Raw genomic sequence first — 18,334 nt, 5'->3', positions numbered from 1 at the left:
CTGCTTGGTGCAGAGCTGAGTTCAATTCCTGGGTATCCTTGTTGACTTTCTGTCTCGTTGATCTGTCTAATGTTGACAGTGGGGTATTAAAGTCTCCCATTATTAATGTGTGGGAGTCTAAGTCTCTTTGTAGGTCACTCAGGACTTGCTTTATGAATCTGGGTCCTCCTGTATTGGGTGCATATATATTTAGGATAGTTAGCTCTTCTTGTTGAATTGATCCCTTTATCATTATGTAATGGCCTTCTTTGTCTCTTTTGATCTTTGTTGGTTTAAAGTCTGTTTTATCCGAGACTAGGATTGCAACCCCTGCCTTTTTTTGCTTTCCATTTGCTTGGTAGATGTTCCTCCATCTTTTTATTTTGAGCCTATGTGTGTCTCTGCACGTGAATGGGTTTCCTGAATACAGCACACTGATGGGTCTTGACTCTTTATCCAATTTGCCAGTCTGTGTCTTTTAATTGGAGCATTCAGTCCATTTACATTTAAAGTTAATATTGTTATGTGTGAATTTAATCCTGTCATTATGATGTTAGCTTGTTATTTTGCGTGTTAGTTGATGCAGTTTCTTCCTAGTCTCGATGGTCTTTACATTTTGGCATGATTTTGCAGCGGCTGGTACCGGTTGTTCCTTTCCATATTTAGCGCTTCCTTCAGGAGCTCTTTTAGGGCAGGGATGGTGGTGACAAAATCTCTCAGCATTTGCTTGTCTGTAAAGTATTTTATTTCTCCTTCGCTTACGAAGCTTAGTTTGGCTGGATATGAAATTCTGGGTTGAAAATTCTTTTCTTTAAGAATGTTGAATATTGGCCCCCACTCTCTTCTGGCTTGTAGGGTTTGTGCCGAGAGATCCGCTGTTAGTCTGATGGGATTCCCTTTGAGGGTAACCCGACCTTTCTCTCTGGCTGCCCTTAACATTTATTCCTTCATTTCAACTTTGGTGAATCTGACAATTGTGTGTCTTGGAGTTGCTCTTCTCGAGGAGTATCTTTGTGGCGTTCTCTGTATTTCCTGAATCTGAACGTTGGCCTGCCTTGCTAGATTGGGGAAGTTCTCCTGGATAATATCCTGCAGTGTGTTTTCCAACTTGGTTCCATTCTCCCCATCACTTTCAGGTACACCAATCAGACGTAGATTTGGTCTTTTCACATAGTCCCATATATCTTGGAGGCTTTGCTCATTTCTTTTTATTCTTTTTTCTCTAAACTTCCCTTCTCGCTTCATTTCATTCATTTCATCTTCCATTGCTGATACCCTTTCTTCCAGTTGATCGCATCGGCTCCTGAGGCTTCTGTATTCTTCACGTAGTTCTCGAGCCTTGGTTTTCAGCTCCATCAGCTCCTTTAAGCACTTCTCTGTATTGGTTATTCTAGTTATACATTCTTCTAAATTTTTTTCAAAGTTTTCAACTTCTTTGCCTTTGGTTTGAATGTCCTCCCATAGCTCAGAGTAATTTGATCATCTGAAGCCTTCTTCTCTCAGCTCATCAAAGTCATTCTCCATCCAGCTTTGTTCCATCGCTGGTGAGGAGCTGCGTTCCTTTGGAGGAGGAGAGGCGCTCTGCGTTTTACAGTTTCCAGTTTTTCTGTTCTGTTTTTTCCCCATCTTTGTGGTTTTATCTACTTTTGATCTCTGATGATGGTGATGTACAGATGGGTTTTTGGTGTGGATGTCCTTTCTGTTTGTTAGTTTTCCTTCTAACAGACAGGACCTTCAGTTGGAATACCCTGCCGTGTGAGGTGTCAGTGTGCCCCTGCTGGGGGTGCCTCCCAGTTAGGCTGCTCGGTGGTCAGGGGTCAGGGACCCACTTGAGGAGGCAGTCTGCCAGTTCTCAGATCTCCAGCTGCGTGCTGGGAGAACCACTGCTCTCTTCAAAGCTGTCAGACAGGGACATTTAAGTCTGCAGAAGTTACTGCTGTCTTTTTGTTTGTCTGTGCCCTGCCCCCAGAGGTGGAGCCTACAGAGGCAGGCAGGCCTCCTTGAGCTGTGGTGGGCTCCACCCAGTTCGAGCTTCCAGGCTGCTTTGTTTACCTAAGCAATCCTGGGCAATGGCGGGCGCCCCTCCCCCAGCCTCGCTGCCTCCTTGCAGTTTGATCTCAGACTGCCCTGCTAGCAATCAGCGAGACTCCGTGGGTGTAGGACCCTCCAAGCCAGGTGCCGGAGATAATCTCGTGGTGCGCCGTTTTTTAAGCCCGTTGGAGAAGCGCAGTATTCGGGTGGGAGTGACCCGATTTTCCAGGTGCTGTCTGTCACCCCTTTCTTTGACTTGGAAAGGGAACTCCCTGACCCCTTGCGCTTCCCAAGTGAGGCAATGCCTCGCCCTGCTTCGGCTCGCGCACAGTGCGCGCACCCACTGACCTGAGCCCACTCTCTGGCACTCCCTAGTGAGATGAACCTGGTACCTCAGATGGAAATGCAGAAATCACCTGTCTTCTGCCTCGCTCACACTGGGAGCTGTAGACCGGAGCTGTTCCTGTTCGGCCATCTTGGCTCCTCCCGGAAGGTACATTTTTAAAGCCCCTTTTCTGCACTACTCCTGGGGAATGAAGCCTCTGAAAGTGCTTATGCATCCACATAAAATGGTCAGTTTTTTTCTGTCGTCTAAATAGAGTCACATTTCTAATTGTCCTCTGCTTCCAGGGCTAGGAGGTTTAGGATGCTGTCCCTTGATAGAAGCTATAAAAGTTAGGGTGCTCTATCTGTGAAAAAACTTCTTCCAAGGATTAAGAGACCTGGAATCGTCACTGGGAGGAGTCAGAGAAGGCTCAAGAAGTGCCCATCTTCTCAGCTTGCCAGCAAGTTAATACTTGTCTGCTCCTCCTACTCGCCTACACAAGTTAGTTAGAACCCAGGTCACCAAGTGGCCACTGGAACACTATGTCCTTTCCAGGGAGAAATAGGGGGTTGAAGTTTTTATAGCTCTCTCTCTGCACTGTTCCTGGAAGAAAAAGCCCCTGGAAGTACTTGCAGCTTGTATAAAGAAAAAATGTGGGGCACATTTATGTAATCCTGTGTAACAAATATTTCTTAGATATGGTATCAAAAGTTCAATGAATAAATGATAAAAATAATAAATCGGACTTCATCAAAATTAGGAACTTTTTTTTTTTTTTTTTGAGACAGAGTCTCACTCTGTTGCCCAGGCTGGAGTGCAGTGGCACGATCTCGGCTCACTGCAACCTCTGCCTCCCGGGTTCAAGCAATTCTCCTGCTTCAGTCTCCCAAGTAGCTGGGATTACAGGTGCCCACGCCTGGGTAATTTTTTAAAAATTATTTTTAATAGAGACTGGGTTTTGCCATGTTGGCCAGGCTGGTCTCGAACTCCTGACTTCAGGTGATTCACCCACCTCGGCCTCCCAAAGTGATGGGATTATAGGTGTGAGCCACCACACCTGGCCCAGGAACTTTTGTACTTAATAAAACACCACTAGAAAAACTCACTTGTGAGTAATCCCTTCCCTGCATTCCCAGAGTTGGTGAATTAAGGGCCAAATCATGGGAACTTTAGAGTTAGGGCAGTCTATGTGAGGTCCAACTCCTTCTCTCCACAGGGAGATGTTGTGTGTTGGGGATTTCTTTCCCAATCTTATGGCATGGTGCCTAGAGGGAGGTCCATGCCTGAATGTGCCTCAGCATTTTCTGCCTGTTTAATGTGAATGTTTCTGACTTCTCCAGAGGGTAGGAGTCTCTCAACTGGTCTCTGGCTTCCCCTCAGAGGGAATTGATCCATGAATAAATGTTTATTTGATGCATCCATGGGTGGAAAGAGAGTCAAGAGCTGCCTATTCCACCATGTTGTTGATGTCAGCTTTTCTTTTTTTAAGTAGGTTTGGATTGGAGGGTGGCTGGCAGAGAGCATGAGGGCACTGTATATAAGAAAGGGAAAAATAGGCTCCTGCAGATAAATAGGGTAATTTGAGCTGCAATGCATAAGCAACTAACATTTATAAATCATCTACAATATTTCTATTACATACAATCACAGTCAGTAATTTGATAGACAAATCTGAAGACTCAGAATGTTGAACAGGGTGACAGAGCTAGCAAATTATGATGACAATATTAGAGCCTAGTCTTCGCTTATGCTTATGTTTAGGCTTTTCTTGCTAAACACTCCTTTCATTTAGCCTACAATGCAAGTTGTGTCAGGTAAAGAAAACGGGCAGCATGGAACAGTACAATATGATACAAAGGGATCTAATCCCCTCACTATTATCAGTGAACCTGGACAAGTCATTTATTCTAATAATACTAAAAGCTCTATTTTATTGGACCAGGGCATGCAATAAGCATTCAACGTAATTGCTTGTTTAATTTTTACACTGCTCTACGAAGGAAATGAAATTAACTCTATTTTATAGGTTAAGTTCTGAGAGGTTAAATAATTTTTCTAAGAAACATCTGGTTAGTATCTAGGATACAAGTTCATGTATCTCAGGCTCCAAGCCTCCAGCTATTAACTAATATATCATGAAAGCACAATTATAAAAGAAGAGATTGCACAATAGAGGAATTCTTTGGCAAAATCATTGCTATGAGAGATGAACTGAAATAGAGGAGATAGGGATTTGGGGGCTGATAAGAAAGGTATTGAGTTGATAAGTAAGAGAATGGATGGCAGTGGAAGGGAGGTAAATGCTGTAATGTATCTAAAGTGTGGCCTCCAAAAAAAATTCAACTCTCATTTCTTGTCATTTTCTACAAATGTAATTATCCAATATGTGACTTTTTTTTCTGGCTTCTTTCACTTACCATAGGTTTATTTTGAGGTTTATTCATGTTGTAGAACATTTCAATACTTTATTCCTTTACATTGCCAAGTAGTGTTCCATTGTATGGATATGCCACACCTTGTTTATGCATTGCTTAGTTGGATTATTTCTACTGTTGACTATTATGAGTAATGCTGTTCATGTACAAGTCTTTGGGTGGATATACGCTTTCATTTATCTTGCATGCTGAGGAGTGGAATTGCTTGGTCATATGGTAAATCTATGTTTAATACTTAAAAAAACTGAAACTGTTTTCCAATGTGACTGCTTCATTTGGCATTGCAATGTCCAATTTCCCTACATCCATATCAGTACTTGTTTTTGGCTATTTATGACTACAACCATTCTAGTGGGTGCAAAACGTTATCTTACTATGATTTTAATTTTTCTTTCCCTAATGCCCAATGTTATTGGGCATCTTTTCACGGGCTTATTTGCCATTTATATAGCTTCTTTGGTGAAATGTTTATGAAACACTTCACATTTTAAAATTGGTTTGTTTTCTTATTGAGTTAAAAGAATTATTTTATTCTGGATACAAGTTCCTTATTGGATATACAATTTAGAAATATTTTTGTAATCCATGACTTGTCTTTTTTTATTGTCTTGGTAGTGTTTTATTAAGGGCAAAGTTTCTAATTTTAATGAAGTCCAATGTATTATTTTTATCTTTTCTTCATTAAATTTTAGATACCATATCTAAGAAATATTTGTTACACAGGATTACATAAATGTGCCCCTATATTTTCTTTAAGTAGGTTTATAGTTTTAGCTCATATATTTAGGTCTAGGAGCTATTTTGAGTTAATTTTTGTGCATGGTATGAGGTAAAGGGACAAATGTATTTCTTGCAATGTAGATATCCAATTGTCCAAGCATCATTTGTTCAAAAAACTATCCTTTCCACATTGAATTGTCTTAACACCTTTGTTAAAAAGCAATATGCCATAAATATGAGGGCTTACTTCTGGACTCTCAGTTCTATTCTATTGATCTATATATGATCTCTTTAAGTTGGTACCATACTGCCTTGATTGTTGTAGCTTTGTAGTAAGTTTGGAAATCAAGAAGTGTAAAATCTCCAACTTAGTTTCTATTTCCAGTTTGTTTTGGTTATTCTGGATCCTTTGCATTTCCATGTGAAATTTAAGATTAACTTTTCAATTTCTGCAAAAATAACAGCTGGGATTTTGACAGAGGTTTATCTGAATCTTTGAAATACAGAATTTTAAACCTTTGGAACTTGAAATGGAATGCTTTCAGAAGACACAGTTGCTTTCCAACTTGCCCAGATCTCTACTGCTTATTATTGCTTTATTACAGATTGTTTCACATGCTTCCATGACCTGCCTGGTCCCTGGAGCATTTACATTTTCAACTCTAGATCTCCACTTATCGCTAAAACAATGTGAAATGCAATAAAAATTGTAAAGACCGGGGCACTCTAAGCTTATTATTAACAAACCATTATCATCAGGAAGCACTGATTTTTAAGGATAAAAGTAAACTAATATTTCTAAAGATTTTTAGTAAGGGTACAAACAAAAACTGGCAATGAATCTTCAAAAGTTACACAGTATTTTAGCTCATTTATTAGACATCAGTTACATGCTTGATGACATTTGAAACCTTTTACATATGTACTCTTTTATTTTATTTTTTATTTTTTATTTTTTTAGAATTTGACTCTTGTTGCCCAGGCTGGAGTGCAGTGGCACAATCTCAGCTCACTGCAACCTCCACCTCCCGGGTTCAAGCGATTCTCCTGTCTCAGCCTCCTGAGTAGCTGGGATTATAGGCGCCCATCACCATGCCCAGCTAATTTTTTGTATTTTTAGTAGAGATAGGGTTTCATCATGTTGGCCAGGCAGGTCTTGAACTCCTGACCTCAGGTGATCCACCCGCCACAGCCTCCCAAAGTGTGGGGATTACAGGCGTGAGCCACCGCACCCACTTTACATATGCACTCTTTTATGCATATAACACATCTGGAATATAGGCATTATTCTTTTTTTGTTTGTTTTTTTGTGTTTTTTTGAGACAGAGTCTTGCTGTGTCACCCAGACTTGAGTGCAATGGTGCAATCTTGGCTCACTGCAACCACTGCTTCCTGGGTTCAAGTGGTTCTCCTGCCTCAGCCTCCTGAGTAGCGGGGATTACAGGAACACATCAAGATGCCCGGATATTCTTTGTATTTTTAGTAGAGAGGAGTTTCACCATGTTGGCCAGGCCAGTCGCGAACTCCTGACCTCAAGTGATCCACCTGCCTTGGCCTCCCAAAGTGCTGGGATTACAGGTGTGAGCCACCATGCTCAGCTGGCATTATTCTTACTAATAAACTGTTCCTATGTCACAGTCACTAAACAGACTGTTTATTCCCACCGCCCCTGACCCCACCCCCCGCCCCCAGTAATTCTGATTCATTTTTTGGCCTTTACCTGGATACATTGTTTTTATCCCCTGATGTCCCATGGCATTTTCTCTGGATCTCTCTTAGAATTTGTAAAAATATTTTACCTCTTATTTTACTTGTTTGAGCACACATCTTATTACCTTACTCAACTGGAGATTTCTGAAGGGATAGACCCTGTCAGAGTCATCAGTGTCCCACACTGAAAAGATTCATCATTGCAACGCATCCATATTTGCTGCAAGAATGAATATCCCAAATGATAATTAATTGAAGTTTTAATGTGAAGTTCTGTTTCTGAAAAGGAAGTACTTTGGGCCCATTTTATATTTATTCCCAATACAAATTCTAGAAAATTTAAAATAAAACATTGTGGAGCGTTTGAACTACTAGAAAATTTCCTTTGAAAATCTCACAAAAAGTCACATTCAAATAAGTTTTAATATACAGGGTTTCAAAAATAATCTAGATACTATAATTACATTGGTAAATGTCCTCCTTAATTGGCATATTAAAATTTTTTTCAGAATTGTTTTAGAGTTTCCTGAACCCTCCTTCCACTGGCACGGCCCTGTGTATGACCCTCCTTGTCTTGATACCCTGGTCTCATTATGGGTTCATGAGAATAGTCTATAGGTCTATTAATTGCTTAGTAATTGCACTAATATAACTCTGCTGTGATCACGTCTTGATCTCATCATCCAAAACCCCAATGCAGGACTTGCTCTGCTGGCTGCCAAGGCTCTTCAGTGTGTTTTGTCATTGAATGGGTAGGGTGGAGCAGTTTTGTCTCTGAGGCTGCTGAGTCTGACTTTGACACTGAAGAGCAGTTTGGGAGTGAAATCATAACTATGACATTTTGTTTTAGTGACTTGTTTGTTCTATTGGTAAATGAAGAGTACATTTTATTATATTAAAGCCAAATGAACACCAAAATGGAACACCACCAAATTGCTGTAGACTCAATGATCATATATATATATATATATATATTTTTTTTTTTTCCTCTGGGGAACATTTTGAGATGGTAGCAGGAGGCACTTTAAGATTCCACAGGCCCCAGAAATATGTGAACCAGGCCTTGGAGCACATCTTATTTCAACACTGAATCCTGAGCACCTCACATAGTACCTGGCATATGTTGTATTTAAATAGAAAACAATTTGTCTTTCCATTTCTATCATTTTGTTTGTTCTTCTTTTTGCTTTTTTACTGGTTCTCCAAATATCTCTGAGCTTATCAAGTTTCACATGAAAAATACAATTACTACTAAATATTGCTACAGATTAAAGGGTTGCCCTCCTCACACAGGGTGATCAGATTGTTCCTAGGATACTGAGAATGATTTAAGGCCCCTTTCTGGTTGTCATGTTGCCACTGCAGGATCAGGAGTCAACTCTTAACAAAGACTTTTATTGGCTCCTTATTTTGGAGATGCTTTTAAAGTTGGACTCCAGACAGCTAGATTGACAGGACTTTTAGGACCTATTCAAATAAAAGTACTACAAGATGTTTTCTTATTCATTTAATCACTCAAGAAATGAGTATGGAACACCTACCACGTGCCAGTTTCTGTGTTAGGAACTGGGGATAACAAGATAAAAACACAGTCTCTGTCCTCAAGAAGCTTACAATACAACTGGGCAGGGAAAGCCTAACAGACTCTGACAGACTGCACTGAATGCTGTATTAGAGAAATGAATAATGTGCTCTGGGAATCAGAGAAGGGAGTGAATAGTGTTGCCTGGGGGTTGCGGAAGCATGTTTATTTTGTTGGTGTGCAAACTCTTTCATCACTGGAAGCCCTGAGGACAATTTTTACACATACTCATTTGGCAAGATAATATTTGTAAAATATTTTGCAGTCCTCAGATCATAAGGGAAACAATTCATATGGCATAGCAGGACACGAAGCACCAGTCTAACACTGGATTAATACTTTCAAAGTATTTACAGTCAGTGCTGTGAAACGACCTAGAGAGAGTCTAATTATTTTGTGACAATGGATGCAAATTTAAGCTTGCTGGACAAACAACTGTTTTATCCAACCAAGAATATCTTCCCTTTCATTTACTAGTGTTAAGCAAATCCTTTCTTTTTTTTTCCATCCCATTTACCTCCCCCATCCTGGGCCCCCATCCTCTCTCCCCAACTTTGAAACAATTTTTGAGCACTTGTCATGGATTAGACCCTATACTGGGTGCTGAACATACAAAGATGGCTAAAACAGTCTCGTCAGGGAAGCAGAGAAATAAACAAATCAGCTCTTTTCACTAGGACATGTGCTTTAATAGAAGATGCACAATATGTTGATGCTTCAAGAAACGGTAATTAATTCTGCCTCATTGGAATCCAGCAAGGCTTCAGAGAGGAGGTGATGCTTGAACAGGATCTTGACAGACACATATTATCTGTTTCATAGGTAAGGTTTTACTTACGACCTCATTAGTTTTGGGGCAATTGTAGCAATGTACGCAATTGTGAGCTGAATTGGTTTAGAATAGTGTTATAAATTATAAACTAAAATTCTATACCTGAAATCCTATACCATAAAATATGTAAATGGTCATGAAAAGAAGGGAAAAGCAAACAAATTTACAAAACATAAAGTATTAAATCATACATTTAATAGAAAACATTATTTCATCAGTGTTTTCTTTTTTTTTTTCTTTTTTTTTTTTTTTTTTTGAGATGGAGTCTTACTCTGTCACCCAGGCCGGAGTGCAGTGGCGTAATCTCGGCTCACTGCAACCTCCGCCTCCTGAGTTCAAGCGATTCTTCTGCCTCAGCCTCCCAAGTAGCTGGGATCACAGGTGTGTGCCACCATGCCTGGCTAATTTTTGTATTTTTAGTAGAGACAGGGTTTCACCATGTTGGTCAGGCTGGTCTCAAACTCCTGACCTCGTGATCTGCCCTCCTTGGCCTCCCTAAGTGCTGGGACCACAGGTGTGAGCCACCTTGCCCAGCTGTGAGTGTTTTCTTGAAGAGGTTTTATAGAAAAACTCAGCTCCCTGAGGCTCCTTAAAAATAAATTTGATTGGCCGGGCACAGTGGCTCACCCCTGTAATCCCAGCACTTTGAGAAGCTGAGGTAGGTGGATTACCTGAGGTTAGGAGTTCAAGTGAAACCCCATCTCTATTAAAAATACAAAAATTAGTCAGGCAAGGAGGTGGGTGCCTGACTATTTTCTCAAAAACAAAATGGATAAAGTTTGGATTAACATTCCTTGGCTTGTTCTTTGATGTATAACGGACCACTAAAAGCTTTTGAAAAGTAATTCTAATAGAGTAGTAGTTTCCACAGTAATCAGATAAAGCCATGCAATTTTGTTCAGGTAGAACTCCAAGGGGTGCTATTTATAGAGAAAGACTGGGACATGAGTTGTGCATCTGTGAGTTAGGTGGGCAATGTGATAGTCCTGATATTTTCTGAGATGATCTGTTATTTGTCTCCCTTTGCCTTATGTACATATAAGTATGTATGTATGCACACACAAATGCACACACACATGAGGAATCTTTAAAACACTTATGGAAAATGCATATTATAAAAAACTTGATGCATGGATTTTGATTTTTTTTTTGCACCAAAATAAACTCATACTAGCTCATTAACATGTCTAGACAGGATCTAGTTTGAGATGCTAAGAAGGATAAGACACCTTTTGAAAGAGCCCCTATCAGAGCAACATGAATTCTGCTAAAATTGAAGCAAGAGCAAATATCAAATATAGGGTGAGGTTTGGGTGTAAGAATGGTGAAATTGTTGATACTTAACAAAAAGTTTATGGAGACAATGTCCCAAAGAAATCAGCAATTTACAAATGGATAATTCATTTTAAGAAGGGAAGAGACAATGTTGCAGACAAAGCCCATAGCAGCAGACTATCCACATCAACTTGCAAGGAAAAAATTTATCTCGTTCATGCCCTAACTGAAGAATTAAATGTGCAAACAGTAGCCAACACCATACACATCTCAACTGGTTCAGCTTACACAATTCTGGCTGAAAAATTAAAGTTTAACAAAACTTCCACTCGATGGGTGCCAAAACCATTGCACCCTGATCTGCTGCAGACAAGAGCAGAGACTTTAATGGAAATTTTAGACAATTAGGATCAAGACTCTGAAGGGTGTTTTCAAAGAACTGTAACAGAAGATGAAACATGGCTTTACCAGTATGATCCCTAAGACAAAGCACAATCAAAGCAATGGCTACCAAGAAATGGAAGTGGTCCAGTCCAAGCAAAAGCAGACCAGTCAAGAACACAGGTCATGGCAACAGTTTTTCAGGTTGTTCAAAGCATTTTGCTTGTTAACTTTCTGGAGGGCCAAAGAACGATAACATCTGCTTATTATGAGAGTTCTTTGAGAAAGTTAGCCAAAGCTTTAGCAGAAAATTGCCCAGGAAAGATTCACCAGAGAGTCTCCTTCCACCATAACAATGCTCTTGCTCATTCCTCTCATCAAACAAAGGCAATTTTGTGAGTTTCAATGGGAAATCATTAGGCATCCACCTTACAGACTTGTTTTGTCTCCTTTTGACTTTTTTTGTTTCGTCATCTTAAACAATCTGTTAAGGAGACATATTTTTCTTCAGTTAATAATGTAAAAAAACTGCATTGACATGATTATATTTCCAGGATGTTCAGCTCTTTAGGTATGGACTAAATGGCTGATATCATTGCTTACAAAAGTGTCTTAAACTTAAGATGACAGCAAGAATGAAGAAAACAAAAGTGTTTTGAACTTGATGAAACTTATCCTGAAAAATGAAGTTTGTATTTTTTATCATTATTATTATTATTAGAGATGGGGTCTTGCTGTGTCACCCAGGCTGTAGTAGTGCAATCATAGCTCACAGCAGCCTCAAACACCTGAGCTCAAGCAATTATCCCACCTGTAGATAGGATTATAGGAACGAGCCATTGCAGTCAGCTCCATATTTTCATCTTTTAATTCAATTTTTCCACCAACCCGTTCAAGCCCCCTTGTGTACATATATTTATATACACACATACATATATGCTTATGTAAATGTGGAAAACTGCATATCTTAACTGTACAACTCAGTTATCACTAAGTGAAGACACCCAGATAGCAAATATGCAGATAAGAAGCATAACATAACCGGAGCATTACCTTGAAGTTCCCCTTGTGCCCTCTTCTAGTCACTATTCCTACAAAGTTAACTATTTTGACTTTGAAAAACACTGATTTGCTTTGCCTGTGTGTGTGTGTGTTTGTGTGTGTTTTAATTAGCTTTACAGATTTGATGAATTCTTTAATGACTGCTTTAAGGTTTACAATTTGCACCTTTAACTTTACCTTAGTCTACATTTAAATGATATTATATCATTTATTATAATATTAAAATCTTACAGTAGTATACTTCTATTTTTTTCTGTCCTTTGTGCTATTATTGTTGAAACTTTTATGTATATGTATGTTTTAAACTTCCACATATGTATTATTTATTTTTGGTTTAAAAAAGAAATTTTAATGAAATTTTAAAATGAGAAAAATAATGTCTTTGGAATTTATTCTACATTTACCCCTCTAGCTCACTTTATTCTTTTGTACAAATCTATATTTCCAGTTTGTATCATTTCCCTTCAGCTTAAAAATTTCCTTTAATTTTTTTTTTTTTTTTTTTGCAGTGTAGGGGTGCAGGTGATGAATCTTTTCAGCTTCTGACTATCATTGTATTTATTTTGCTTTTATTGTTGGAAGATAATTTTTTCTGGGTATGAATTCTAACTTAATTGTTTTTATTTTTATTGTCTTATAGCACCTTAAATATTATTCCATTGCCTTTGGCTTTCATTATTTCAATATGAAGTTTGTATTGATTCTTACCTTCATTTCTTTGTAGGTCTTGTGAGTTTTTTTCCTCACATTTAAGATTTTCTTCTTATAGCTCACATCAAGCAATTGGATTATTATGTGCCTTGATGTGTGTTTATTTTTTTTGGTATTTATCTTTCTTAGGGTTTGTTGAATCTCTTGGAATTGTGGGTTTATATATTATAAAATTTAGGAACATTTTGGTCATTACCTCTTTAAAGAATTTTTTCTGTCTCACCTATCCTAAATGCCAATTATATGTATCTTAGACCACTTGACATTTTCCCACAGGTCACAGTGGCTTTGTTCATTTCTTGTAGCTTTGTATATATGACTGAAAGCATGTGCTTTATGCTGGTTAGTTTCTATTGCCCTTTCTTCAGATTTACTGATCTTTTCTTTTCTGATGTTTGATTTGCTATCAAGACCATCAATGATTTTTCATTTTAGGTATTGTCAATTTCACATCAGAAGTTTTACATTTTTTTCACAATTTTAAGTTTCTCCCCTCATTATTTTAATGCTTTCCTTAATATCCATTTACATATTTATATAAGATGTTTTAAAGCCTTATCTATGGTTGGGTGCGGTGGCTCATGCTTGTAATCCAGAACTTTGGGCGGCTGAAGTGGGCAGATCACTAGAGGTCAGGAGTTTGAGACTACCTTGGCCAAAATGGAGAGACTCTGTCTCTACTAAAAATACAAAAATTAGCTGGGTGTGGCAGTGGGCATCTGTAATCCCAGCTACTTGGGAGGCTGAGGCAGGAGAATAGCTTGAACCGGGGAGGCAGAGGTAGCAGTGAGCCGGGATAATGCCACTGCCCTCTAGCTTGGTTGACAGAGAGACTCTGTCTAAAAAAAAAAAAAAAAAAAAGAAAGAAAGAAAGAAAAAATAACCTTATCTACTAATACCATCTTTTCTATCATTTATGTGTCTGTTTTTATAGACTTATTTTTCTCTTGGCTGTGGGTTTCATCTCTTTGCTTCTTGGCATATCTAGTAATTTTTGGTTGGGAACTTGACATTGTATTTTTTATGTTGTTTGGATTTTGTTATTTTCTTTTAAACAATGTGTCAATTTATTTCAGAAGATAGGCAATTCATTTGCAGATTATCTCAATATTTTTGGCGTTTGTTTTTTAATTTTCTTTGTGCTAGTTTTAACAGGTCTTTACTCTGGGGCTGGATTAGTCCTATTCCTAAAAAGTAAACTTCATTGGTTTCTACTGTATGATGTGGATTGTTAATAAACTCTCTTCATACAAAGTGATAAGAATTAGAACATCTACCAACCCTGTGTGAGCTCTTGTAGTTCAATTTATAGCTTTCTGGTAGCTGTTCTTTTTTAGTAGTTGTTCTTCACCCTGGCTCATGGGATCTTGCTTATGTTTTACAAGCTTAAAATTCAGCCAATGGCTCAAGTGGAAGTCTATGTAAATTTCTTGAAGTTTTTCTCTGCACAGCTTCCTCTTCCCATTCACTCTGATCCCAGCTACCTGTGCCTCCTTGAACTCCAGTTTCTGCATCGTTAGCTTAGTGATATTGTCAAACACTTTTTGAGCTCTCCTCCTCTAAACCAGGGTCTGAAAAGTGCCCAGAGCTAGAAATATGGGCTAAACTTAAGGCTTACCTTCTCTTAGGGTACAAAGTCTAGGCAATAGTCTGCCCAATATGTGAAAACAGTTGTTCTGTATTTTTTGCAAGTGTTCATTATTTTTGTGGCAGGGCTGGTTCAGCACCAGTTACAGGCAAAGTCTAGGCAATAGTCTGCCTGATATGTGAAAACAGTTGTTCTGTATTTTTTGCAAGTGTTCATTATTTTTGTGGCAGGGCTGGTTCAGCACCAGTTACAGCAACATGGTCAGAAGCAAAAGTCTTATTTCACCTATTTATTACTTTATGGAATTGCAATCATACATCAAGCAACTCCTGGGTGGATGACTTCTTTCACTTGCTATTATGTTTGTGAGATTCATCCAAAATTTTACATGTAGTGGAAATTGTTCATTCATTACTTCATAGTATACATTGTGTCAGCATATCACAATTCTTTTACTCATACTACTCTGATGGCTGCCTACGGGCTTTAACTCAGAATTAGAAAAGAAAAACAAAAAGACTAACATTTATTAAGCTATGTGCCAAGTGATTTCTTAACAATATAGCCAACACTCATGCGGTATTGCTAAGTACCAGGCACTGTTCTAAGTGCCTTAAATATATTAACCAACTTAATTATCACAAATACTTTATAAAATAAGTGATGTTATTATCATCTCATCCTAATTTTCAGGTTAAGCTACTGAGGCAAGATCAAATTCCTGGGCCAAAGACACACATAGAAATTGCATGAACTGGATTTAAATGCAGGCAGTCTGGCATTATAGGATCTTAATTATAATGCCATATTGCCTCTCCATGAACAAGCCATTACACTTAATCTCATTTAATTGTTACTACTGCCAGATGCATTCTCCATTTTATAGTTTAACAAACATACAAAACAGAGGTTGTGTATCCAATGGACAAGAGTCAGGTTTGTCACTCAAATGTTTGTCTCCTGCTTCTACTCCTCTAATTCCAGATCTCTTCTTTACTTTCACTGTTCATTTCAAAATAATTCGAGGGTCACAGAAAGTTTCAAAGATTTAAAGCTAGAACAGATAGGTCCCGCTGCACCCTTTGCCTAGTCTCCCTGCGGTAACGTCTTAGATAACCAAAGAACCACCCTCAAAACCAGGATATTGACATTGGTACAATCCACAAACCAAGGCTGATTTTATAACGGCTTCTAAATACTCTAAAAGTTATGACATACAAGAGTGAGACAGTTCTCTTTTCTGCAGATAAAGAAAACATTTGTTAAAAAGGACCAACAGAGTACTATCATTCTAGGAATCAAACTCTTAGACTTAAATGGCTAGGAAGGGGTAAAATATGGATTAATGATAGAACTTGCTAGCAAAATGTTATAATACAGTATAATACTATTACATATTAAAATCCTAATTCCAAAGAAGGAGTTGAGTTAAATTGGGAATATAAGAATGCAGACTTAAGTCACATTCAATACAGGAAAGCAATATCACTGTGAGAAATTATGGACTGGAATACTAGATGCTGAAACATATTTCAAGAGTAATGTCCATCCAGTATCCCTCAGAAAATCGATGGCTGGCCTCTTTCTAAGTTTTCCATTCAGCCTATGGTGGAAATTTTTGCTCTGCAGCATTATAGCTCTAAAAATCTTTTCATGAAATTCACTAGAAAACTGAGATTCATTGCTCAGAAGTGAGTGTGAAACCACTTAGCCAGTAAGGCAAGAGAGACCTATATTTGCTCTTGTTAGGCCATAAAACAATCTCACCTCAGGTATTTCGATAGCAATAGCTGCATGAGAATGAGAATTGTGATAGGTTCACAAAAATAAATCTTCATGGCTCTTCCCAAGGTAGAAGACTGAGACTAGTCCACATTCATTTCAAATTTAAAAACCAAATGTTTGCTTCTATTTAATCCAGAGCCTATGCTGTTCTGCCTAGTCCATGCATTTATTTATTTATTACATTTCTAGAGCACCTTTCTTTCAAAGCAACATCTTTGTCACAGTTGGCTTCTGGAGGAGCAATTGATCACAGGGATGTTGGGAGCCTGCAAGGTAAGTAGAATATCACACATTCTTTCGTATTAGAAACAGAAATGGCTTTCTAGGATCTTAACTGTGGAGATGTTTGTGTGCTTTAAAACTTTGTCACAAGAGGTTGAAGGGACAGGTGAAGAAATGACAGGTGAAAGAGCATTAGGCCAAGAGATAGAAAACTTGAATTCTGGCCTAGGTCCTTCATTACTGGCTGAGTGAGTTTGGCTAATTCATTTGCTGTCTCTGGCCTTCGGATTCCTCATTTTTGAAATAAAGTGGATCCGAGATAATCTCTTAGGTCATTACCCCTCCCAGGACAGTCTTCTATGAAATTCAGATCAGATTTCTGGAAACCCTGGTGAAGTCAAATTTTCATACTTCATTTATATGTGAAGTGAAATTCAGTCAACATAATTTTTTGCGTGTATTTACTGCATATTTACCATATAGCAGATGCTATGCTAGGCAACTCAAAAATGGAGCTTAAAAAGAAAGAAACACAGACCGCTCAGAAACAGAAAGCTTACAATCTAGGAGAACTGATAGAAATTGAATAATAAATTAAATACATGCCTAATTAATTACAATTGTGATTAAAACTACAAGGGTAAGATACAAAATGTTATTGAGAGCTCATAATAGAATTTGGCTATCTAGGTCAAGTAAGTTTTGTTGGCTTTTATTAAAAATTATCTTATATATTCCCAAGGAGTATATTTCTTTCACATACATTTGTTTTAGGAAGAGTCAGGGAGGACACAAGACTGCAATTTATAAAGCGTCCTTCATTGCATTATTTTATCCTAAAAGATTGCATGCAGGCAGTAAATTATCTCATAATAAGAGCCACCTGAAATCATGCTGCGTCTCTTCTTGGCAAAACATGGAGCATCACCCTAGTTTTATGGCTTATTTGGGTGCTTTTTGTTCTGGACTATATTTTCAAGGATGTTTGTTTAGAGAAAATTTTAGAAAATAAAGTTTGTATTATTTCCAGAGCAAAGTACAGTTCTGATCACAGCTTTGGAGGATAGAAATAGCATCTTCCTCTGGAGTAAAGGGCAGAGGTGCTCACTGTCCAGTATAATAAAGGAAATGCTTCCTGCTCCCCTGGAGAAAGGGCAAGTACATTTAACACCCATTTAAAAATATTTGGGTTCTCTCAGCTACGTTTTCCTCTCCTGTCACACAATCCACCACATGTACAGGTGACTTTTGGCCCTCTTGTCACATTGTGGGAACGGAGGCTCGAGGAACCCACGGAAAAATTGCTGGTACTCTGGCTACTGATATCGCTTGAGTAACAAACTGTTCTTTGTCTCATGTCTTCTACCAGCATCCATGAAATTGTGGCAGGCTAACTTAATAGTTTGCAAGTGAAGTAAAATCTTAGACCATTCAAAGTTCTTAATAGCAGCTAATAGAAAAGTGGGAACAAGAGTTCTTATTTTTCTTTTTGTTTTAGAATGGCAAATACTACATCATAAATAGACCTATTATTTCAGTCTCACTTGAGACTATTGTGACTTGGAAGAGCTCATGATTCTTGTTTTAAAAAGAAGTTCATTTTGCAGACAGAATGTTTTCTTTATTTCAGTAATAATAATCTTAATAATAATTAAAATACACACTATTCGTTGAGCATGTAGTGTACACGAGCACC

At 38.2% G+C, this 18,334-nt stretch overlaps 2 annotated features.

The window, feature by feature from the left end:
• Window positions 1,665–2,220: an enhancer, noted in NCBI's record as "H3K27ac-H3K4me1 hESC enhancer chr1:60956083-60956638 (GRCh37/hg19 assembly coordinates)". NCBI's record gives its function as "activates a minimal SCP1, AML or CMV promoter by ChIP-STARR-seq in naive H9 embryonic stem cells {active_cell/tissue: H9 hESC(naive)}" and the evidence as "EXISTENCE:reporter gene assay evidence [ECO:0000049][PMID:30033119]".
• Window positions 2,221–2,777: an enhancer, noted in NCBI's record as "H3K27ac-H3K4me1 hESC enhancer chr1:60955526-60956082 (GRCh37/hg19 assembly coordinates)". NCBI's record gives its function as "activates a minimal SCP1, AML or CMV promoter by ChIP-STARR-seq in naive H9 embryonic stem cells {active_cell/tissue: H9 hESC(naive)}" and the evidence as "EXISTENCE:reporter gene assay evidence [ECO:0000049][PMID:30033119]".

The sequence above is a fragment of the Homo sapiens genome, chromosome 1, assembly GCF_000001405.40.
Source record: "Homo sapiens chromosome 1, GRCh38.p14 Primary Assembly".
Lineage (NCBI taxonomy): Eukaryota > Metazoa > Chordata > Mammalia > Primates > Hominidae > Homo > Homo sapiens.
The sequence above is the reverse complement of the archived record's forward strand: the minus strand, read 5'-3'. Positions and strand labels throughout refer to the sequence as shown.